Source organism: Homo sapiens, chromosome 17 (assembly GCF_000001405.40).
Source record: "Homo sapiens chromosome 17, GRCh38.p14 Primary Assembly".
Taxonomy (NCBI): Eukaryota; Metazoa; Chordata; class Mammalia; order Primates; family Hominidae; genus Homo; species Homo sapiens.
In genome coordinates, this window is record NC_000017.11 from 732,564 (window position 1) to 756,159 (window position 23,596).

The 23,596-nt window shown below is 51.4% G+C and overlaps 2 protein-coding genes and 1 pseudogene across 13 annotated transcripts, besides 5 other annotated features; 2 read left to right on the forward strand and 1 right to left on the reverse strand.

Annotated features, from left to right (window-relative positions):
• Nucleotides 10-279: a silencer, noted in NCBI's record as "silent region_7942". NCBI's record gives its function as "represses an Ori minimal core promoter by ATAC-STARR-seq in GM12878 lymphoblastoid cells {active_cell/tissue: GM12878}" and the evidence as "EXISTENCE:reporter gene assay evidence [ECO:0000049][PMID:35858748]".
• On the forward strand, nt 33-10,405 carry TLCD3A (TLC domain containing 3A). Of its 4 annotated transcripts, NM_024792.3 has the most exons (5): nt 33-206; nt 535-618; nt 5,283-5,484; nt 7,942-8,037; nt 8,738-10,405. In NM_024792.3, the coding sequence occupies exons 1-5, from the start codon at nt 85-87 to the stop codon at nt 9,005-9,007; spliced, it is 774 nt and encodes a 257-aa protein (NP_079068.1). In that variant the 5' UTR covers nt 33-84; the 3' UTR covers nt 9,008-10,405. The 4 variants fall into 4 exon arrangements, with proteins under 4 accessions (NP_079068.1, NP_001304935.1, NP_001304936.1 ...); NM_001318006.2 differs by lacking the exon at nt 7,942-8,037; NM_001318007.2 differs by lacking the exon at nt 5,283-5,484.
• Nucleotides 350-449: a silencer, noted in NCBI's record as "silent region_7943". NCBI's record gives its function as "represses an Ori minimal core promoter by ATAC-STARR-seq in GM12878 lymphoblastoid cells {active_cell/tissue: GM12878}" and the evidence as "EXISTENCE:reporter gene assay evidence [ECO:0000049][PMID:35858748]".
• Nucleotides 11,858-21,847, reverse strand: GEMIN4 (gem nuclear organelle associated protein 4). 8 transcript variants are annotated; one of them, XM_047436180.1, is made up of 4 exons: nt 21,396-21,847; nt 17,434-17,685; nt 17,251-17,346; nt 11,858-15,469 (listed from the first exon to the last, which is right to left on the reverse strand). In XM_047436180.1, exons 3-4 carry the CDS (start codon nt 17,270-17,272, stop codon nt 12,303-12,305), a joined length of 3,189 nt encoding a protein of 1,062 aa, XP_047292136.1. In that variant the 5' UTR covers nt 17,273-17,346; nt 17,434-17,685; nt 21,396-21,847; the 3' UTR covers nt 11,858-12,302. The 8 variants fall into 8 exon arrangements, with proteins under 8 accessions (XP_047292136.1, XP_016880198.1, XP_011522213.1 ...); XM_017024709.2 differs by lacking the exon at nt 21,396-21,847 and adding an exon at nt 20,055-20,230; XM_011523911.3 differs by lacking the exons at nt 17,434-17,685; nt 21,396-21,847 and adding an exon at nt 20,055-20,230.
• Nucleotides 18,981-19,040: an enhancer, noted in NCBI's record as "active region_11439". NCBI's record gives its function as "activates an Ori minimal core promoter by ATAC-STARR-seq in GM12878 lymphoblastoid cells {active_cell/tissue: GM12878}" and the evidence as "EXISTENCE:reporter gene assay evidence [ECO:0000049][PMID:35858748]".
• Nucleotides 19,221-19,640: a silencer, noted in NCBI's record as "silent region_7944". NCBI's record gives its function as "represses an Ori minimal core promoter by ATAC-STARR-seq in GM12878 lymphoblastoid cells {active_cell/tissue: GM12878}" and the evidence as "EXISTENCE:reporter gene assay evidence [ECO:0000049][PMID:35858748]".
• Nucleotides 19,770-22,773, forward strand: DBIL5P (diazepam binding inhibitor-like 5, pseudogene; annotated as a pseudogene). Its single transcript, NR_024120.2, has one exon. The product of NR_024120.2 is annotated as a diazepam binding inhibitor-like 5, pseudogene (transcript).
• Nucleotides 19,821-20,080: a silencer, noted in NCBI's record as "silent region_7945". NCBI's record gives its function as "represses an Ori minimal core promoter by ATAC-STARR-seq in GM12878 lymphoblastoid cells {active_cell/tissue: GM12878}" and the evidence as "EXISTENCE:reporter gene assay evidence [ECO:0000049][PMID:35858748]".

The window sequence follows — 23,596 nt, forward strand, 5'->3', positions numbered from 1 at the left end:
GTTGAAATCGCGCGGCCGGGCCGGGGCGCGCCGAGCCGAACCCAGCCACGCGGCGCCAGCGAGGCGGCCGGACCCGCAGCCCCGATGCTGCTGACGCTGGCCGGGGGCGCGCTCTTCTTCCCGGGGCTCTTCGCGCTCTGCACCTGGGCGCTGCGCCGCTCCCAGCCCGGATGGAGCCGCACCGACTGCGTGATGATCAGCACCAGGTACCGGCGCCGCCGAGACGCCCCCCGAGGCCCGGGGCGCTGCCCACCGCACCCCACCCGGCCGCGGGGCCCAGGGCGGAAAAGGGGGGCGGCAGGAAGCCCGGGGGCTGCTCCCTCCGCGTCCCGGCGGCCCGAGTTTCCGAAGCCCCTCCGCGTCCTCCCCTGGCGGGAGCGGGGCCGGGGCGGGCGGGAATGGCCGATGAGCCTCCGGAGCCCGCTCCCCACATCTGCCTGCGGCTGGGGAGAGTCAGGCCGAAGGGCCGGGCCGGGCTCCCTGCGGTCCTCGGACCGGACTGAGCGCGCGCGCTGTTCTCTCCGCCCGCGCTAGGCTGGTTTCCTCGGTGCACGCCGTGCTGGCCACCGGCTCGGGGATCGTCATCATTCGCTCCTGCGACGACGTGATCACCGGCAGGTAAGAGCCCGGGCCGGGGCCTTGTTGCAAATGTCACATTTCAGTAGCTCGCAGGCTCTGGCTCTCGCAGCACACGCGCTCAGAAAGCTGACTAATGGGAAAAGCTGGCACCACAATGGGCTCCTTCTTCCTCTCCGGAGTCTTCGGGCACCCCCAGCTTAGGAGAAAGTCCACGGAAATGAGGGAGGACGACAGAGTCGGAGTCTGATTTCAGGTGGTGTGAGCCAGGGATCCAGGTCCTTCATGGAAGAGATAAGCGTGGAAGCATTTACGACTGGGAGTGTGGCTTGATTCTTGCAGTTGGCTTCACTGGGTTCTCACTCTGGAGCATCACTGGCTAACAGACGTCCAGTGTGGTTAGCAGAGCCCCCTCCATGGAAAGGAACCAACCCACCACCCCCTTCCACGCAAACGCCGCTCTTGCTTTTCCTGCAGATTTGCTAAAGGTGATTGAGAGGTTCCCAGCGCTTAGAACACGGACTTGTACGTCTATCAGAGGTCAGTCCAGAGGCAGGTCAGGAAATGTGCACCTATCTGCAGTTCCAGTGAAACAAATCATAAATTAAGACCAGAATAGTCGACTTTGTACAGTAGTTAGACCTGGACAATGGTGGTGCTTTTATTATTTCAAGCCTTTTTTTTCCCCACCGGTCTTGCTGGAATCACACTCACTTTCTCCCAAGTTGAAGGACCACAGTCGGATGTGCAGGAAGTTGAACGGCCTTTCCAGGCCCTGCTCTCCTGTGGGCTCTGCCAAGTCCTGCTTCTCACCTGCTGAGACTGAACTGCGAGGGGCCTGAGCAAGCTGTCCGTCTCACTCTAGCCTGCGGTCTTACCTGGGATCAATCCTGCTGTCATGATTTTTGTGCTTTTCTTCTGCCTTTTTAAAAACAAAACTGGCTATTGGCGATGAATAAGTAGATGCTACGATAGATCAAGTGACATCGATTGTAGACACCAAAGGTTAATATTGGTGTGGCTGGGTACAATTTTTCTTCTTCTTCTTCTTCTTTTTTTTTTAAAGACAGGGTCTCACTATGTTGCCCAGGCTGGTCTTGAACTCCTGGGCTCAAGTCATTTTTCTGCCTCACCCTCACAAAGTGCTGGGATTACAGGCATGAGCCACCACACCCAGCAAATTTTTTACTTTTTTTTTTTCCTGTCGAGACCTCAGGCTGAGGTGCAGTGGCATAATGACAGCTGACTGTAGTCTTGAACTCCAGGGTTCAAGCCACCCGTCTTCCTTAGCCTCCCAAGCTTGGACTACAGGCACACACTACTACACCTGGCTAACTTTTTTTTGTTGTTGTTGGTAGAGACAGGGGTCTCCCTGCGTTGCCCAGGCTGGTCTTGAACTCCTGGGCTCCAACGATCCTCCTGCCTGGGCCTCCCAAAGTGTTGGGATTATAGGCGTGAGCCACTGCACCCAGCCAAAAAAGGCCTTTCAGGGTTCATATACTATATACTGAATATTTTTCTATTATATGCCTTCTCATTTTATGCCTTCACATAGAATGCGATTAGATAGAAGGAGTTAAAAATCCCCCCAAATTATAGGCAGAAGGTGGTATGGGGCCAAGGATTTAGTCAGATTCTTAAAGGATTCAGACACTAAAATGACAAAGTCACAGCTCCAGGTGGTTTTCTCAATTTAAGTACTTAATTCAGATAGTACGTTGTTGTTTTAGACAGGGTCTGGCTCTGTCACCCACGCTGGTCTGAACTCCTGGGCTCAAGCCATTCTCCCACTCAGGCCTCCCAAAGTGCAGGGATCATAGGTGTGAGCCACCGTGCCCAGCCTGTATAGTACCTTTTAACATTTAAAAGGACTCCCCCTCCCCGCCGCCTTTCTTTTTATTGAGATGGAGTCTCACTCTGTCACTCAGACTGGAGTGCAGTGGTGAGGTCTCGGCTCACTGCAACCTCCACCTCCCAGGTTCAAGTGATTCTCCTGCCTCAGCCTCCTGAGTAGCTGAGGTTACAGGCATGTGTCACCACGTCTGGCTAATTTTTGTATATTTAGTAAAGCCATGTTGGCCAGGCTGGTCTTGAACTCCTGACCTCAGGTGATCCATCCGCCTCGGCCTCCCAAAATGCTGGGATTACAGGCATGAGCCACCGTGCCCGGCCGACTTTCCCACATTTAATTATTTAATCTTCACTGCAGTTTTGACAGGTAAGACAGACAAGGATTATCATCTTCATTTTACAAAGAAAGTTAAATCACAGGCTAGTGATAGTGAAGATTATAATCCAGATCTCTTGCTAATAAATCTTCAGAGGATTCTACTCATGAGTCACAATTTCAGATCTCTTCTCTGAATTGGTGAAAACATGAAAACCCTAGGTTCCCTTCAAGGGGAGAGGCCAGTTATATTTCAGCTAAATTTTAGTAGCTGTTTATAGGTATTTTACTTGAAATTGCTTGAAGAAAGCACCTGAGACCATAGATGGGCATTGGAATAAGTATGGCATCTTTTTGGCCAAAAGAAACCTAGCTAGGTCGGGTGCGGTGGCTCCTGCCTGTAATCCCAACACTTTGGGAGGCCGAGGTGGGCGGATCACTTGAGGTCAGGAGCTTGAGACCAGTCTGGCCAACATGGTGAAACCCCCATCGCTACTTAAAAAGAAAAAAAAAAAGAAAATAGCCGGACGTGGCGGCAGGTACCTGTAATCCCAGCTACTCGGGAGGCTGCGGCAGGAGAATCGTTTGAACCCACGAGTCAGAGGTTGCAGTGAGCTGAGATCGCGCCACTACATCCAGCCTGGGCGACAGAGCAAGATTTTGTCTCAAAAACCAAAACCAAAAAAAAAAAAAAAAAAAAGGAACCTGGCTAATGAATTCACCTACAAGTGTGTTATACTTGCCATTACTTGCTTGCCTTATTTGTTTATTCATTATTTACGCCGTGGTAAGTGTGGAGTTGCTCAAGAGCACAAATTCAGATGGCGCCTCCGTAGACTGTATTTCCAGTGTTGCAGTTCAGCGGACTGGCTGCGTCCGAAATCAGAGACAAAGTTAATACAGATTTCAGGGCCCTCGGCTTACAATTTAGAATCTCTGGGGACTGGAGCGCTTAACAAGCACTGCAGGTGATTCTGATGTTCAGGTAGTTTGAGAACCATAAAACGAAATGGTTTTCTACCTAATACGTGGATGCGCATCAAACGTTTGCTGACCATGTGAATGGAATCCTCAAATAGTACATGATTTCAATTTAGATGTTTCTTCACAGAAAACATCTGTGGAATGCTTATCACTGGGAACCACATTGTATGAATTGTAGAGGCTTCCCTTCTAATCTGCTCTAGGACGGTGATCAACTATGATTTCCATTCAGCAAATACTGATTCAGCCCCTTTGGATAAGTAAATGGGAAAACTGTCTTTTGACCTAGCCTCTCTCCTGGTACCTAACCGCTGTAATGTGGCCCTTGAGCTCCAGGCTCATTTCCAGACCTGCTTTTTTTTGTTGTGTTTTGTGTGTTTTTTGAGACGGAGTCTCACTCTTTTGCCCAGGCTGGAGTGCAGTGGCGCGATCTCGGCTCACTGCAACCTCTGCCTCCCAGATTCAATCGATTCTCCTGCCTCAGCCTCCCAAGTAGCTGGGAGTACAGGTGCACACCACCATGCCCAGCTAATTTTTGTATTTTTAGTAGAAACGGGGTTTCACAATGTTGATAAGGCGAGTATCGAACTGCTGACCTTGTGATTCACCTGCCTTGGCCTCCCAAAGTGCTGGGATTACAGGTGTGAGCCACCACGCCCAGCCTCCAGACCTGTTTTTCTTAATGGAATTGAGATTATCTCTAGAATTGCTTTTTGGGTTTTTTTGTTTTTGTTTTTTTTAGATGGAATCTCACTCTGTCGCCCAGGCTGGAGTGCAGTGGCGCAATATCGGCTCACTGCAACCTCCGCCTCCCGGGTTCAAGTGATTCTCCTGCCTCAGCCTCCCAAGTAGCTGGGACTACAGGTGTGCGCCACCACATCTGACTAATTTTTGTATTTTTAGTAGAGACGGGGTTTCGCCATGTTGGCCAGGCTGATCTTGAACTCCTGACCTCAAGTGATCCACCCGCCTCAGCCTCCCAAAGTGCTGAGATTACAGGTGTGAGCCACCGAACCCGGCCAGCTCTAGAATTGTAAAGAAAATGGCCAGGGTTGCCTCCCAGAAACTCCATAGAGTGGGGTTGCATGCAGACAAGAGAAAACTCACAGGTTCCAGGATTTAAGTTAGTAAAACCCCCAACTGTTGAGCAGCTAAGGAGTTAAACTAGAAATGTTGGATTTGTGATTTGGGACACTTTCCAAACCAGCTTCTTGGTGGGGCCGTTGAATCATTTGTATATCTATCTATATCAAAATCAGTTTTATCACAAAATGCCAGAACATCTACTACAAATTAGTAGCTAAGTCAGGCAAGTAGTGACAGCAAGCTGCTTCAACAGGCAGGGCTGAGTGAATGCCTGCTTTTTGCCTTTGACACTCACGAATTGGCCCTGAAACTGAGAGCAAGTGGTCTACTCTCCCTGTTTATCAGTTTCAACATCTTTATTGTAAAGTATTTGGAATAATAATAGCTGATCAAGCACCAAGCTTGGCTGTGAGCCTTCATAATGGATATCCACAATGATTTCACGGGCCATTCATATGCTTTCTTTCAGGCACTGGCTTGCCCGGGAATATGTGTGGTTTCTGATTCCATACATGATCTATGACTCGTACGCCATGTACCTCTGTGAATGGTGCCGAACCAGAGACCAGAACCGTGCGCCCTCCCTCACTCTTCGAAACTTCCTAAGTCGAAACCGCCTCATGATCACACATCATGCGGTCATTCTCTTTGTCCTTGTGCCAGTCGCACAGGTATGGCCTTCCAGGACAGCAGACCAGCAGCTGGGTTGAGCTGGGTGTCTTTTTTTTTTTTTTTTTCTGAGACAGTCTCACTCTGCCGCCCCAGCTGGAGTGCAGTGGTGTGATCTCAGCTCACTGCAACCTCCGCCTCCCGGGTTCAAGCGATTCTCCTGCCTCAGCCTCCTGAGTAGCTGGGATTGCAGGTGCCCACCACCACGCCCGGCTAATGTTTGTATTTTTAGTAGAGATGGGGTTTTGCCATGTTGGCCAGGCTGATTTCAAACTCCTGAACTCAAGTGATCCGCCCGCCTCGGCCTCCCAAAGTTCTGGGATTACAGGCATGAGCCACTGCGCCCGGCCTGAGCTGGATGTCTTGACCGTTACTTAGGAGTCGGGATTGCCCCTCTTTTCTTTGCCACTCATAGGCACCCATTCTCCTTGTGCCTGCTGCTTCAGAGCCACCTCCCCCAGGTGAATAGTGGAGGAACACCATTACACATGAAACGTTCATGATCCTCCTTACCAACATCAACATCAACATACTTTTTCTTTTTTGAGACAGGGTTTCACTCTGTCACCCCGGGTGGAGTGCAGTTGTTGGATCACAGCTCACTGTAGCCTCAAACTACTGGCCTCAAGTGATCCTCCTGCCTCTGCTTCCCAGGAAGCTGGGAACACAGGCACACACTACAACGTCCAGCTAATTCCTGTAATTTTTGTAGAGTTTCTCCATGTTGCCCAGGCTGGTCTCAAACTCTTGGACTCAAGTGATCCTCCTGCCTAGGCCTCCCAAAGTGCTGGGATTACAGGCGCGAGCCACTGCACCCGGCCCCAACATTCTTTTTAACAAACCCCCAGCGCTCTGTGATTCCCTAGCGTTTGTCAGAGGTTCTATCCTTAGTTCAATACAAGATAAAAACAATATAAAATACAAATATAATACAAAGCAACATAACAGTGCCAGAGAGCACTGTGTGGATTATTCTTAGGTCACAAAACACAGATTCTCAAAGCAAATAGCCTCCTACTTTCTCCCCAGATCCATTTCCCCATAAAAGCCCACCCAACAAAGAAAAGCAATGGGAAAGCTGAGGGGAAATTCCTCACTCTTGAGTGCCTGGCCAGGGGAAGGCATGCGTTTTTTTTTTTAATTATTCATTTATTTAGTTATTCATTTTTTTGAGATGGCGTTTTGCTCTTGTTGCCCAGGCTGGAGTGCAATGGCTCACTGCAACCTCTGCCTCCCGGGTTCAAGTGATTCTCCTGCCTCAGCCTTCCAAGCAGCTGGGTTTACAGATGCACGCCACCATGCCTGGCTAATTTTTATATTTTTATTAGAGACGGGGTTTCACCATATTGGTCAGGCTGATTTCAAACTCCTGACCTCAGGTGATCCACCTGCCTCAGCCTCCCAAAGTGCTGGGATTACAGGCGTGAGCCACTGCTCTTGGCCGGCATGTAGTTTTATTTTATTTTTTAAATAAAGAGATGGGGGTCTCCTTATGAGGCCCAGGCTGATCTTGAACTCCTGGGCTCAAGGGATCCTCCCGTCTCAGCCTCCCAAAGTGCTGGGATTATAGGCGTGAGCCACCGCGCCCTGCCAGGCATGTGATTTAAAAGTTCATAGCTTGCTAAATATTAGAAGCTATTAGTCTTATGCTGTAGATGAAGAAACTGGGGCTCTAAGAGTATTCTTATATCTCTCAGTGGTACTAAGTGGCAGAGCTGATATTTTACCATGCTTACTGCTTTCTTGAAAAAAGAGGCCGGGCGAGGTGGCTCATGCCTGTAATCCCAGTCAGAAGTTCGAGACCAGCCTGGCCAACATGGTGAAACCCCATCTCTACTAAAAATACAAAAATTAGCCGGGTGTGATGCTGTACATCTGTAGTTCCAGGTACTCAGGAGCCTGAGGCAGGAGAGTCATTTGAACCCGGGAGGCAGAGGTTGCAGTGAGCTGAGATCACGCCATTGCTCTCCAGCCTGGGCAACAAGAACAAAACTCCGTCTCAAAAAATAAAAATAAAATAAATAAATAAGGGTAACGTGCATTAAATTCTTTAAGAAGTGTCTGGGACCTACCATCTAGGAACCAGAACATCTAGGGTGCTTTGAGACCCTAACATCTAGCACAGGGCCTGGCACATTTTGTTGAACCAAACAGGCTGAGTGTCTTGGCATGACTAAGTTCGATACACAAAAGTAGGCTTGCAGCCTTCCTTCCGGCTGTCATCAAAATTCAGAGCTTGGTGTGGGACGCCGTCATCCTGTCTGAATTTGCCTCTGGATCCTAGGGCTTGGACCATCAAAGTGCTGTTGCCACGGAAGCAGCGGTACAGTAGTCTGCGCTTGCCTATTGAGCGTCCTTTGCCCGTCACAGTTACCCTTTTCAGTAGCCCTCGTTGGAATTTTCCTTCTGGTGGTTTCTTAACCTCCACTTACTTCCCCTTTTCGTTTCGTCATCCGCAGAGGCTCCGGGGAGACCTTGGGGACTTCTTTGTCGGCTGCATCTTCACGGCAGAACTGAGCACTCCGTTTGTGTCGCTGGGCAGGGTTCTGATTCAGGCATGTATGAATGAAATGACAGAGAGTGTGAGGGTTCTGATTCAGGCATGTATGAATGAAATGACAGAGAGAGTGAGGGTTCTGATTCAGGCATGTATGAATGAATGGCAGAGAGAGTGAAGGTTCTGATTCAGGCATGTATGAATGAATGGCAGAGAGAGTGAGGGTTCTGATTCAGGCATGCATGAATGAAATGGCAGAAAGAGTGTGGGAGGGAGTGGATTCTGCTTTTCCTTCGGAGATGGTGGGTGTGGAGAAATCCCTAGTGCCAGGAGAGTGGGATGAGAGATCCTTCAACAGCCTTAAAGGTCAGCTGGTCATCTCAGCCAGTGGGGGTGAAATTGTAGGTTTGATCTAAGTTTGATAGTTTGATACAGCTCATTCTATTTTTTCCCTGGTTACACACATACTTTAATCCACGGTTCCTGTACTCCTGTCAGCTGGGTGGCCTGGGTCAAATTCAAAATCACTATTGGAGAAAATGAGGTTATTTGCACATCTCAATATGATAGTGTTCAAGAATGTCTTCTCCAAGTGTTAGAAAACTAGACAAACGTCTGGGCGCCAGGGAATCTGACAGCCAAGGTCTTGATGAGCACCTGCACCTGTGTGGCATTTACTGTGGTGGGACTTGGGCCCGTCGCTCCCTGATGCCCAGCTTCTTGGTGACCTTACCTTTTTCCTTCCTCTTCTATTGCAGCTAAAGCAGCAGCACACCCTTCTGTACAAGGTGAATGGAATCCTCACGCTGGCCACCTTCCTTTCCTGCCGGATCCTTCTCTTCCCCTTCATGTACTGGTCCTATGGCCGCCAGCAGGGACTAAGCCTGCTCCAAGTACCCTTCAGCATCCCATTCTACTGCAACGTGGCCAATGCCTTCCTCGTAGCTCCTCAGATCTACTGGTTCTGTCTGCTGTGCAGGAAGGCAGTCCGGCTCTTTGACACTCCCCAAGCCAAAAAGGATGGCTAAATGCTCCTGGGAGTCAGGCGCAGCCTCACACCAGCTGCCTCCTCCACTCAGCATTCCATGGACCAAATTGTGCCCTGGGTAGCCTCAGACTTTGGGTATTGATAAGCCGATGGATTTGAGTTTTTCTAAAGAATATTCATATTACCTCCTTCTTCTAACTTGCCCTATTTGCAAAAGCACTTTTGTAGTAACAACTATTGGGTCCTGTCAGACCTCCACGGACAGCAAAGTGGTTTTAATGCAAGCCCAAGGATCCTTCTTAAGGTCTTATCTCAAGAGCTCTGGGAGGTGGAAGCATGGGGTGGGATCGGTGGACCAGGGTGGTAAGTGTCTGCACATCTGCCTGTCCCTGTATCAGCGGCTACCCACCTTCCAAACCACTCAGGACAGTACCCGTGGCACTGGGCCCGCAGAAGCAAGGGATGACTTGGTTCTTGGAAGTAATGTCGTCTTGTGACATTGGCCTGGGACAATCATTGTGGGTAGGTAGTTATTGATCGTTTACTAGATAACCCATTGGTTCTTTGCCTCATCCTCTCATCCATGGGTCAGAGTTGAATTCTTATGTCTATAGACTTCCAATCAGAAGTCTCACTGGTGGGGCTGGGGGTGGGGGCAGGCAGGAGGCATGGATGGGAACCTGAGTAGGTAGTGTGGCCAAGAGATCAGCACAACCTTTGCAGGCTGACTTGCTAAGTCTGACAGTGACAAACTTGTGAGCTTACTGCAGTCAGTCACAGAGGCTGTTCTTTTTCACACACCCCTTCATGCCCGGCTTTCCCCATATCCACATGCAGAGGGCGAGCTCATAAAACTACAGGGAAGCGTGAAATGATGGCTTTGGTAGCTGTTTACTGGGTAACCCCACTGTGACACTGTCCTTTTCATGTGATGTGGAAACCTACTTCTGTCCTCCAAACCATGAAATGTGTCATCTAGACTGCAGAGTACTTGAGTGCTTTGCCTCCCGATATGCCAGAGCTTGTGGTCCAAAGCCCATTCCTGTGTGTCCGTCCTGCCATTTAGCCACAGAAGGCTGCGGAGTGAGGCGGCAGCTAGCCTGGCCAGTGGCTGTCCCGTGGACCGACACCTGCGCCCCCTTCTGCAAGCAGGATTTTCTGGTGCCAACACTCATTCATCATTCCCGATCAACTAGGATGAATTTAAGACTGTGCTACCATGTGTTCTCAAGTGGTAGTTTAAAAAGTGGATTTTTAAAGTGCCTTTCAATTGTCTGTGAACGTCTAAAGGACTGATTTGTCTCATTTTGACTGTTGAGTCTTTAATGGGTGCCATTTAAAAAACAAAATGCTATTTTTTAATTGTCTTTTTTTTTTAACTATCAGTGTATCTTTAAAAGTCACCCTTACGGTGATTAAATTGCACTAACATTCCCAACTTATTCTCATTTGTGAAATACATCAATATCAGTGTCCTGTAAGAATCATCCTGTGACCTAGCTCGACTGGCTGCCGTGTGCTGTGGCTCAAGGTCTGTGTCCATGTAACTAGCAGAGGGGTGTGTGTGTGAATGCTTTCAGCCTCCAGAAAGGTCTAGCTCACACCTCACTCAAACCTATTTTTGTGGTTCATGGTCTCAGTAATACATTGAAGGTTCCCAGAGTTCAAGCGTAGTGGTCACACGTAACTTGAGACCGTTTCTTCTCTTCATAAGTGAATCTTACTAGGAATTGGGAGAGTGGAAGACCGATTATTGGTCAGGGAGCCAAGCCTACTTTACCTGAGGAGAACCTGAGTAATGCCCCATTGTGAAGGAGGGTGTGGATATGGAGGGAGTGATGGGACATATTTTTTCCCCCTTTCATCTCACACATTAAACATGTCCCCAGCCAATTTTCATAGTTTCCTCATACCTCAGACACCTTAAACTCATTTTTTTTTCTTTTTGTAGAGACAGGTTATCTCTGTTGCCCAGGCTGGTCTCAAACTCCTGGCCTCAAGTGATCCTCCTGCCTCAGCCTCCCAAAGCACTGGGATTATTACAGGTGTGAGCCACCATGCCTAGCCCACTCTCAATTTTTTTTTTTTTTGTTTTAGACAGGGTCTCACTCTGTCACCAAGGCTGGAGTGCAGTGGTCTGATCTCAGCTTACTGCAGCCTCTACCTCCCAGGATCAAGTGAGCCTCCTGCTTTAGAACCCTGAGTAGCTGGGACTACAGCTGTGTGTCACCACACCTAGCTAATTTTTGTGGTTTTTTTTTTGTAGAGACAGGGCTTCCATATGTTGGCTGGTCTCAAGTGATCCTCCCGCCTCGGCCTCCCAAAGTGCTGAGATTACAGGTGTGAGTCACCGCACCTGGCCCAAACTCATTTTTTATGTTCCTGCACACATCATTCCCTTATCCAAACCATTCATTCATCCAAATCTTGACAACCCCTCCTGAGGCAAAAGCTAACGTGACCCATCCATTCAGCACATCTCTGCTGGGTTTGCCAGGTCTCGTCTTCACAGTAGCCCCTTTGGGGGTGACTGAATAGATGGAGTTAAGACTGTATGGGAAGTGGGTGTGCTTATTGTCCCAGCTACTCAGGAGGCTGAGGTGGGAGGATCACTTGAGTCCAGGGGTTCAAGGCTAGTCTGAGCAACAAAGACTGTACACACTCCTCAATTCAGAGGGGACCCATTTTCTTGAGGTCACTAACCTAGCCCCTCGCCACTGAGTTTATCTTGGTCCTCCAATCCTCTCATTTTAGAATTGTGCAGGCCTCTCGGGCACAGCAGTCTCATGGCCAGAGGCAGAGCCAGGGCTGGACTGGATTCTTTTCCAAGCTGCTGTCCTTTCCAAGATACCTCAAGAAAAAAACATTAAAAGACGAAATAACTCTTGAAGGGGGTTATACGTACCATGTAATGCTTTTTCCACTCACATGGTTTCAACTTTGGGCTTATTTGCCAAAATCTAGGATGGAAAAGTCCAGTTATGAACATGTTCCTCCTGGCTGGATTTGATCTTGAAGACACTAAACCCAATTTCAGAGCATATTTAATCCTGGGCTATTGCTGAGGCCGACTTAGAAGAGACAAAGTGAGATGCGAAAGAGGAGAATTTTTATGATAGTTTGTACGTTACAAATACCCAAGAAACTATTTTCTTTACACCATTATTGCCATGACTTTTTGTGGACAGTTTCACATAACTGTAAAGTCCAGGCTGCTCGGGTCTGACCCCTACAGACCTGCCATGTTGAAGCCCAGCTTTTTCGCTCCCGCACAGGTAAGAAGCTGCTGATCTTCTGCAGACCCGCCATGTTGGGGCCCAGCTCCCCACGCCAAGTCAGAAGCTGCTCATCTTCTGCAACAGGGTTTGGCGCCGTTCTTCAGGGCCGATGCCCTCAGCAATGGACTTTAAGAAGCGCTGCTCGTGTGCCCTCTGGAGCAAGGAGCTGACAGAAGGGTTGGTCTTGCTCAAAGTCTCATAGCAGGTGAGGGTTTCCAAGGCTAAAACGTAGAGTGGCTCACAGACCTCCGGGTGGAGCATGGCCATGATGTGCAGAGCATGGCAGAACACCTGGGTGTAAACAAACAGGGCTTCCTGGGTCAGGTCCTGCTCTGGTCCTTGAACCCAAGGGCCAGCTGCCTGTATCGCCCTGACTGAGTCCAGGAGGCGGGTCAGACTGCCACAGAGGAGTTTGACCACGTGGTTCCAGCCTTCCAGAGGAAGCCAATCACGACAGCTATGGCTGCAGAGAAACTGGAAAGTCCTCAGGAAGAGGACGGAGAGTTGCAACTCCTGGGCAAAGGGCTTCAGGTTGAGCAGGGGAACAAACTGAATATATTCCAGGCTATAAGGGACATGGAGGAGCTGCTTCTCCAGCAGTCTCCTGGTCAGCTGGTGAAGGCGCTGCCACTCCTGAGGGCTGCACCAAGGCATGACTTGCACCAGGGCCACCAGAAAGCCTTTGCTGAACAGTCTGACCTCCTCAGGATTGCCCACGTCCACCACCAAGAGAGACAGCATCCTCTCCGAGATGCCGCTGGAGACGCAGCAGCACTCCATCCAGGCCAGGAGCCCCGTGCCAGCCCCGTACCCTGGGTGGGCCTGGGAGGTCCACTCGTCTTCTGAAAGCTTACAGATCTCAAAAAGTGTGGCTGGCACTTCACACTTGAAGTGCCCCTCGAAGAAGCTCTTCAGCCTCAGGCCCACAGTCCAGTCTAGCTGTTCTAACTTGCGGTGGAGCCAGGACAGGGACTTGATCCAGACATCCGGGGAGAAGGTCTCAGCATTGGCTGATACAATCTCACACAGGAGCTCCAGGATATGGATCGCTAGATCCTTCCTATCCAAAGAGAGGCACCGCTTCTCCTTGGGAAGCTGCCAGTATTTGCTGAAGCGGTCCAAGAGCTGGCACAAGCTGAAGAGGAGTGGAAACGGGGAGCAGGTCTGGAGCCAGTATTCCTCTCGGCACGCGTTTGCCTCTAGAGTCTGGATGAAGATCCTCAGACTGAGGTCTACCTCTTCAACATCTAACCTCAAGAAAGGCAGGACAAATTCCTTCAGCACCTCGTCTGGCTCAAGAAGAGCAGCCACTGGAATCCCTTGGGGTTTCACGGGACTCATCAGGCAGTTCAGGAGCTCTAAAAATTGCTTTTCTTCCTTGGGTGTAGAGAACTTCATCCAGACGGTTTCTTTGAGGCATGACACCATGAAAGTGGCAGATGAATTGGGACCCTGCTCTTCCACAAACCTAAGGGCAGGGAAGGCAGTGAGAATCTGGGCCAGGAACTTGTGGGTGCCGAGATTGACCACAGCCAGGCTGCACATTTTCTTCACCGTGACTTCCGGGTGCACTATGACCAGGCGGGCCACGGAGGCCACAGCTTTTGCCAAGCCCTGTTCGGAGGCACTCTGAGTGAGCTGGTTAAAAGTTGTATTGAGGTCTTCCTGAAAACCCTCCACATAAGCCAGCAACTTTTCAGAGAGGCCCTTTCGCCCCCAGGAACGCAGGATACCTGCAAGGACTTTATTTTTACCTGGCAGGGAGAGGTCTGCGTAACATTCCAGGATCAGGTGGATCACCTGCCGGATCTGAGACTCAGGGATGGCTCTGTCAGCTGTGCTGACGTCTATCACTGTTTCCAGCAGCCTCAACACCAAGTCTGGCTGTCGGAAGAGGGCCCTGTTACTCCCCAGGCAGGCTACCCACTCGTCCGAGAAGGCCCACTTCTTCTCAGAGGCAAAAATGTAGCACACTTCCATATGGCGGTCCATCTTCTGCTGGATGACGGCCATGGCAATGGAAGCTGTGATATCCTCCAAGGCCCTGTTCTTCAGCACCGTGCTCGTTTTCCTCAGGAAGTCCCTGACACACTCCGCCAGCTCAGAGACCACCTGCCTGTCCTCCTTGGACAGGCTGGTGCGGTTCAGGTAGAGCGTCGCGTTCTGGCTGAAGGAAGTCAGACTGTCGCACAGCCGGTAGCTGTCGTAACTTGTCCCCTGGCTGCTGCGGAGCACGGCCTGCAACTCCTCCCCCCACTCCCGCAGCAGGTGGTGCAGGAACTCGCAGCCCACGAAAATGGTCTCACTGGGGAGTTTGGCCAGCGAGGTCAGGCTGACATCCCGTTCTGCCTCCTTCACCTTCTCTGCCAGCGCCTGCTGGTGGTAGGGATTCTGGGTGTCCGAGTTCCACACAGAGATCACCGTGGCCAGTTTGTCCAGATACACGGTTGCAGACACCTCCTGGGGGTCGTCCTCTGTCAGCGCAAACACAGTCAGCATGTCAGCCAGGTTGGCCAGCGCACAGCACTTCCTCCCCGGGCCCAGGATCCGACTCTGGATCTGTGTCAGCCCGCGGAGCAGCATGGCCAACAGGGGCATGGTGGGGCACGCGTCTGGGTCTGACCTAAGCCTCTTTGGAGGATGGGGGAACTCATCTAAGGCAGGCAGGTACTTATGGGCCATTGCACTAAACTGGGAGAGCAGGGGGTCCTGCGGGTGACCCTTGTGCTTCATCACCTCCCACCAGACGTCCAGGAAGAAGGCCACGTCTTCGGCAGAAGTGTCAACGGTCACATGTTCCAGAAAGCGCTCTAGTTCTGCATGGCAGATGGTGGTGGGCAGGGCCATCAGGAGCTGGATAAAGAGTCCAGAAGCTTCCAGGGATTTGAGCAGCTCGAAGAGGATGGTGTGGTTGATGGTGGGGATCATGTTGCCCACCGAGAAGAACAGGTCTTCCTGCCACCGTGTCTCTGTGTCGGACGGGGTCACGGGGTGCGGCTGCAGAACCTTGGCCCAGATGATGATCAGGGCTTTCTTCTTCCAGGCAAAGGGCTGGGAGTGTGCTGCAGCCGAGGAGATCTCCCTTAAGGCCTCCACGATGGGCCGTCCAACACGTTCCCAGTCAGACTTTGTTAATTCTGCCAGTGCCTTAGGGTGGAACAGCTGCTCGGCCAGCAAGAAGCCTCCATGCAGAATAGTCATTTCTTCACAGATGTTCAAGGGTCCTGCACACAGACAAGCCAAATAAGACAGTATAGTGAAAATGTTTCCAGATGGCCACTGCTGTTAGTAGGCTGTCATGGTTTGAGATGACAAGGGTTTTAAAGGACATCAGCGGACGGGGAGAAGGGATGACTACAAGAGCCACTGCACAGCTGGAGTCAGAAGGACTTGGCCGAGGAATCCAGAATGGCTTCCGAGCTCTCCAGCCTGGGAACTGGGAGGCCACCAGGTGACATCACATACAGGGAATGGAGGAGAATCAGAGCAGGTGTGAGGAAAGATGAGTTCAGCTTTGGCCATCAAGGTACAGATGTCCTCCAGCAACGGAAATGCCAGGTGGAAGTTCAGGAGGGAAGTAAGCTGGGAAATGTGATTCTGAGAGGTATCTGCCCAGAGGGGATCACCGGAACCAAGACGGTGAATGAGATCCTTCAGGAAAAGTGTGTGAAAAGAAAAAGCTGGGCTGCTGAGGCGAGACCCTCCAGCAAAGGCTGGGCCAGCAGAGGATGTGGGGAGAGGGGTTTAGAAATAGGAGGACAGTACAAACTACAGGGGCCACTGAGCATGTACCACAGGACATGACAGCTGAGCTTCTCATGACAGATGAAGGGAGCATAGCCACAGGGTAATGGGCACAGAGCAATCACACAGCCACAGGGTAACAGGCACAGCAGCAATCACACGGCCACAGGATAATGGGCACAGAGCAATCACACAGCCACAGGGTAATGGGCACAGAGCAATCACACAGCCACAGGGTAATGGGCACAGCAGCAATCACACAGCCACAGGATAATGGGCACAGCAGCAATCACACAGCCACAGGGTAATGGGCACAGAAGCAATCACACGGCTACAGGATAATGGGCACAGAGCAATCACACAGCCACAGGATAATGGGCACAGAGCAATCACACGGCCACAGGATAATGGGCACAGAGCAATCACACGGCCACAGGGTAATGGGCACAGCAGCAATCACACGGCCACAGGGTAATGGGCACAGAGCAATCACACGGCCACAGGATAATGGGCACAGAGCAATCACACGGCCACAGGATAATGGGCACAGAGCAATCACACGGCCACAGGATAATGGGCACAGAGCAATCACACGGCCACAGGGTAATGGGCACAGAGCAATCACACGGCCACAGGGTAATGGGCACAGAGCAATCACACGGCCACAGGATAATGGGCACAGAGCAATCACACGGCCACAGGGTAATGGGCACAGCAGCAATCACACGGCCACAGGGTAATGGGCACAGCAGCAGTCACACGGCCACAGGGTAATGGGCACAGAGCAATCACACGGCCACAGGGTAATGGGCACAGCAGCAATCACACGGCCACAGGATAATGGGCACAGCAGCAATCACACAGCCACAGGGTAATGGGCACAGAAGCAATCACACGGCTACAGGATAATGGGCACAGAGCAATCACACAGCCACAGGATAATGGGCACAGAGCAATCACACAGCCACAGGATAATGGGCACAGCAGCAATCACACAGCCACAAGGTAATGGGCACAGCAGCAATCACACGGCTACAGGGTAATGGGCACAGAGCGATCACACGGCCACAGGATAATGGGCACAGAGCAATCACACAGCCACAGGGTAATGGGCACAGCAGCAATCACGCAGCCACAGGGTAACGGGCACAGCAGCAGTCACACAGCCACAGGGTAATGGGCACAGAGCAATCACATAGCCACAGAGCAATGGGCACAGAAGGAATCAGACAAGCCCTGCCTTCACTCTTTATAAACTTGCCTTGGGAACAGGCTTCAAACATTCTTCTAGCTTTCAGGGAAACGGTCCACCCCACAGCTCCTTCCAGTCAAAAACAAGGTACTCATGGCCCTAGCTCTGTGGGAGAAACCAGGGAGTAGATACAGAAAATACTGTGCTAGATTAAGCCTTCCTTCAGGGAACTAACGATTGACACAGACTTACCATGGAAAACATCTTGGGATGTTTAATCAGACATGGGTTTAAATCCTAGTTCAGCCATTTAAAAATGATGTGATTCTGGCCAGGTTCAGTGGCTAGCACTTGTAATCCCAGCTACTTGGGGGGCTGAGGCAGGTGGATCCCTGAGGCCAGGAGTTCAAGACTAGCTGGGGTAACACAGTGAGACTCCCCCTCCATCTCCGAAAAAAAAAAAGGGATGTGATCTTGGTCAGATTGCTTCTCCAAGCCTTCCTTCTGCATATGTGGGGATAATACAGACTTCATGTTATGCCTTTGGGGATCATGTGATATATACCAGTCAAGCCCTTGCTAGTGGGTTGGCACTGCTATCTCCTGACCCCATCTCCCCGGGACGCTATGATGGATAAATGAGATAGAGCTACAGTAAGAATCCAGTTACAGAGTCTAATTAGGTGCTCAGTAAATGTTGGTTTCCCCAAACCTTTTCATGGTTGGCAAGACCAGAATCTTGTCACTATTCTTTGCCTCCCCCAGCTCAGAAACATCAAAGGATGTAGGTCTTTATCAGGTATGTTTCCTTTGGCCCAGAAACTAAAACGAGGGTGCAAACACTGCTCCCTATTCCTCATTCCTGAGTCATCTCCCCTTTCCCAGGAGTGAGAGATGCTACTCCTTCCTCAGTCTGTCATGCCCCCAAGAGCTCATATTCCCCATTTTCACAGGCCAGACACCAGCAGAGAAAACACTGACTCCAGGAGACTAAGGACCATCTTACCCCTCCCACCATTTATGGGAGCGGCAGCAGGCCAAGGGCTCAGCACTATGTAACCCACTTGTGGAGGCAATCCATCTCATCTCACAGTGGCTGAGACCGACTCCCAGGGAGGGTTACGCTGCGAAGGGGACCTCCCTGGGGGTTACCGCCCTTCTTTCTGGCTCAGGAGGCTCTCCCAGGGTCCCAAAATATAGTCCCTCCTGACGCTGTAAATTTAATTTTATTGCATTATTGGCTTAGTTGAGCAGATGTTTGGCCCTAAACACCTGCCTTCCAGGCGCATTAAGTACGCACAGTTTGAAGTAGTAAGTCCCAGGGCGGTTACTAGCTGGAAAATACTCCGGTACTCTATCATGGATGGTTAACTAGTGCTTGCCACAGCCCGCTTCTTAGGTTTATTAAGCACCTACTCCATGCCAGACACTGTGCTAGGTGGTACACAGGTAAGATCTCTTCTATTCACAATCACCTTTTGAGGACTAGTATTCCTGCTCTAGAGATAAGGACACTGAGGCGCAGAAACGATTTGCTGAGGGTGTCCCAGCCTGAATGTGGTGGGGCTGGGAAGCAATTACGGCTGAGGGGCTCCAAGCCCTTAGAGCTCTGCCATTCCGCTCCTGAAAAGCTGTCTGGGGGCGGGGACCAGACCATTTCCCCCCAGCCTACTACTGCTGACACATCTCGGGGTGCCTCACCCCCAGCTCTCCCAGAACAGCCTCCTGGTCTTAGCAGCGTGTGCCAAGATTTAGCAGGGAGCATCTAGTTCCTATGGGCTCCCTCCCAGACCTTGCCTGTAAGATTCTGAATCCGGACGCACGCAGGTTCACAAAGTGATACCTCAGGAGCGCAGCCGCCCCCACCGCGGGTGTGACCCGCGCAACCCCACAAGGGACACTGTACCTCGGCGATCTCAATGCAAAGTCGCCCAAAACTCAGTGGGGAGACACACTTCCATTCTCCCCGCTCTGTCGATGAGGAAACGTCATGAGCGTAAGACACTTGGAGCGTTAAGACACTTGCTCAAGAACGCAGCTGCCGTTCAGGAAATGAGGCCGTCGGGGCGCCCAGGGGTGCTCGGAGGGAGCCCGTTTCCCAAAGCACGTGCGCGAGCCCCGGGCGCTTCCAAGGGCTCTAACTTCACGTCTGCTCCGTGTTTTCAAGCGCAGGGGGCCGGAGGCGGCAAGACGCGGCCCAACGCGCGGCGGGACCCGGACCACCCCCCGCCAAGGCCACCCCGGGACCCCTAGACCCGCCCCGACGCGGGGGACGTTTCGGTCCGGGCCCGCGCGAGCGTGCGCGACAGGAGGAGACGCGACGGGGCAGCACCGCTCTGGTGGCGCATTGCTGGACGCAGCCCGGGGCCGGGGAGCCGCGGCACCCACCTAGGTCCATGGCGGCGACGCCGGCGGCTGCGCGGGGCTAACGCCCCCTCCCCTCCGAGAACTCGAACGCGGCGCGGGACGCACGGCACGATGGGAGACGCAGGAGCCACGGCGGCCGCGCTTAGGCCTGCTCACAACCTCCGCCCGGCCCCGCCCACAGCCTCCGCCGCGCACGCGCAGTCCTCACGAACGAGCGCGCCAAGCGCACAGCGCCGCCTTCCGGCAGAGCCCTCCCACCAGCCCTCAGGTACCCGGACGTCGCTCACTAGACCCCTCCGCACCGTCCCCTGCCCGGCCCCTCTTCCGGGGTCCCAGCGGGTCGGGCTCATGATTCCCCGGCCCCGCATTCACCCTCACCCGGTAACCCCGGGCGTGCCCCGCACACAGTTCACCCCCACCGAGCGCCTCCCCCGGGACGCCCACCACCCAGCGCGGCCGCACCACGCGAGGCTTCCACTCCCACCCGCCCAGCTCGCGCCACATACAGTCCCTCAACGCGCTCCTGCCGCGCCGCCCCCTCCAGACAGCAGCGTTCCGGATCCTAGACGCTTTTTGACGGCTGGTCCTCCCCAGAAAATGCGCCGTGTGAGCCCAAACATGGTGGGGTTTACGCTGGACCCCGAGCTTGCAATCTGTGCTTGACAAAACACAAACATCGCGTGCCTGTCTCCTCCCCCTGAGATCGAGTAGTAACAGCCACTCCAACTCTCCACCTCCAGCTTCTAGCACCAGGGACCGCCTCCACCACCCCATGTGCCAAGTGGAGTTCGAGCTGCGCGGCCCTCAAGCAGCTGAAGGGTCCCGTGAGCGATCAGGAGAAGCTGCTGGTCTACGGCTTGTACAAACAGGCCACCCAGGGCGACTGCGACATCCCCGGCCCTCCGGCCTCAGACGTGAGAGCCAGGGCCAAGTGGGAGGCTTGGAGCGCGAAAAAAGGGGCGTCCAAGATGGACGCCATGAGGGGCTACGCGGCCAAAGTGGAGGAGCTGACGAAGAAGGAAGTGGGGGGCGTGGAGCGCGAACAAAGGGGCGTGCAAGATGGACGCCATGAGGGGCTACGCGGCCAAAGTGGAGGAGCTGACGAAGAAGGAAGTGGGGGGCGTGGAGCGCGAACAAAGGGGCGTCCAAGATGGACGCCATGAGGGGCTACGCGGCCAAAGTGGAGGAGCTGACGAAGAAGGAAGTGGGGGGCGTGGAGCGCGAACAAAGGGGCGTCCAAGATGGACGCCATGAGGGGCTACGCGGCCAAAGTGGAGGAGCTGACGAAGAAGGAAGTGGGGGGCGTGGAGCGCGAACAAAGGGGCGTCCAAGATGGACGCCATGAGGGGCTACGCGGCCAGAGTGAGGAGATGAGGAAGAAGGAGGCTGGCTGAGGGCTCCTCGGGAATGGAAAGGGCTTCTTAGACCTTGATGGCTGAAATGTCCTGAAACTGTCGCAAGCTTAGCCGAGACATCAATAAATCACTTAAACTGCATGAGAGTGACTGCTGTTGGAAAGGAGAAACTCGGTGACTGAGTGCTGGGGAGGCGTCCAAATACACAGACTAACTTTTTGTATGGTTTTGGGTGGAGTTCCCAGCTCTCCTATTACAAGAGCGTATGTAGGTATTTGGAAGGACGAGGGGGACAGTGTGCTGTGGAAATGCCCAAGATCTGAGGGCAGGAGACCATTCTCCAGTGACAGCCTCTTGGGAGGTTGAGGCCCCAGCCCCTTATCTCTTCAAGGCTGATTTACTAATACCCCAGCACCACAGAGGGGAGAGGGACTCTGTCCTCCTAAACACTAAAGTCAAGTCCAAAAGCCCCCACTGGAACACAGGGCCTACCCGGTTCATGTTTTGAGGGAGACCAAGCTTTCCGTGATGATAATGTGATGAAACAATTGATGCGCCAGAACACAGCAGTTTAGAAACAATGGAGCAGATGGTGTCAAAATCCCAGCCCCAGAAAGGCTCACCTAAGGCCGGGCAACCAAAATGTTCCCGGGACTATTCTGTACTTAACCCTGGTTTCTGCTTAGGGGACGGTGGGACAATATGCATATGGATGTCTATGTGGGATTTGTTGCAAGAGCACAACACACCCCTTGACCTATGCAAGTGCCAGAGTGTCTGAGCCCAGCTTCTACTCCTGTTAATGATCACAGGAGCCTCATACACAACCATTGTGCATGGCGGCTGGAGTATGGAGTAGTAAATGGTATCCAGAAAGGCAGGTCTACGGTGGCATATGGGATTTCCTGGTACTTCTTCTTTAATAGAAACTATCTTCACAGATCATGACATCAGGTCAGCTGCAGTTCTCACTGGGACCAATAAACAATAGAAGCAACAACCATAAAGACTTAAGAGGACAAAGGAAACCAAACCTCACTGTGTGTCTTCAAGATCTGTTCACATAGTTGCAGGAAGTTGCTGTAGACAAAGTACATTACTAAAGAATGAAGCCCACCCAGGACATCACAGCAACGAAAGAACTATTTCTGGTAACTGTGGACCAGGTGAGAGCCACACTGTAGAACAGCAGTGCTGCCCTCTCTTCTTTGGCGAATGTTATGAAGACATTCTGATGCACTTAGGATCATGATTCATGTTAAATGTAAATTAATTGTAAAAATAATACATCTTGCTCCAAAATGTGGTGACAATTTAGAAGCTGTCCACATAGCCAGACCACTCTGTAAATCACAGAACCTAGAAAGTAAAAATGTGCCATAATTAGGACAGCAGAAAGTAACAGTAAAATAAAGTTTTAAAAAAAAAAACAGAAAATAAGGATTTATCTATTTGTATTTGCTTAAGAAGAGGTTACCTATAGGATGCAGGGGGAATGGGATTGATGGGCATGGGGTATACTGTGAAAGGAAAATAAAATCTTGGGACCAAATTCACTAAGCGAAAAGGAAAAGTTAAGCTTGGAAATTGAGTCATGGAATATGCAAAAAACTTCCTTTTGTTCCTAAACAGATAAGCTACAAGACAGAAGGCCACATATCTCCCCAGGTGGTCTCCCTCACCTGACAATATAAATTAACAGCTTATCTTCATAGGTAAGGGACAAAGACAACACCAGAAACCATCCCTCACCAGCCGAGACAAAACATAGATGTACTGAGCTGAATGCATAACTGTTCCTCTGCCTGCTGCTTTCACTGTAACATATAGATTTGGTGAGCAGTAAATGTAGATTTACTGAGCTGAATGCATAACTGTTCCTCTGCCCGCTCCTTTCACTGTAACATGTAGATTTGGTGAGCGCTAAATGTAGATTTACTGAGCTGAATGCATAACTGACTGTTCGTCTGCCCGCTCCTTTCACTGTAACATGTAGATTTGGTGAGCACTAAATGTAGATTTACTGAGCTGAATGCATAACTGAGTGTTCCTCTGCCCGCTCCTTTCACTGTAACATGTAGAGTTGGTGAGCGCTAAATGTAGATTTACTGAGCTGAATGCAAAACTGACTGTTCCTCTGCCTGCTCCTTTCACTGTAACATGTAGATTTGGTGAGTGCTAAATGTAGACTTACTGAGCTGAATGCGTAACTGTTCCTCTGCCCGCTCCTTTCACTGTAACATGTAGATTTGGTGAGCACTAAATGTAGATTTACTGAGCTGAATGCAAAACTGACTGTTCCTCTGCCTGCTCCTTTCACTGTAACATGTAGATTTGGTGAGTGCTAAATGTAGATTTACTGAGCTGAATGCAAAACTGACTGTTCCTCTACCCCCTCCTTTCACTGTGACATGTAGATTTGGTGAGCGCTGATCAAAGCCTAATAAGAATGTAACCACTTATCTCCCTACCTACCCTCCTGTATTTTTCCTTTCCCTCTTCCCTCCCTTCCTGCTCTTTCCCTTTTAAATACTTGTTAGGAATAATGCTCAAAATCCTAAGGAAATAGAACACTCGAACAAAGGATTCTTAGCAAAGCAATTTTACTTCTGTGCAGAGGGGTGCCTCCTTGGCCAGTTGTCATGAGAGCACACCTGAACAAAGGGGCACGAGAGCCTTTGTTCCTGACACAA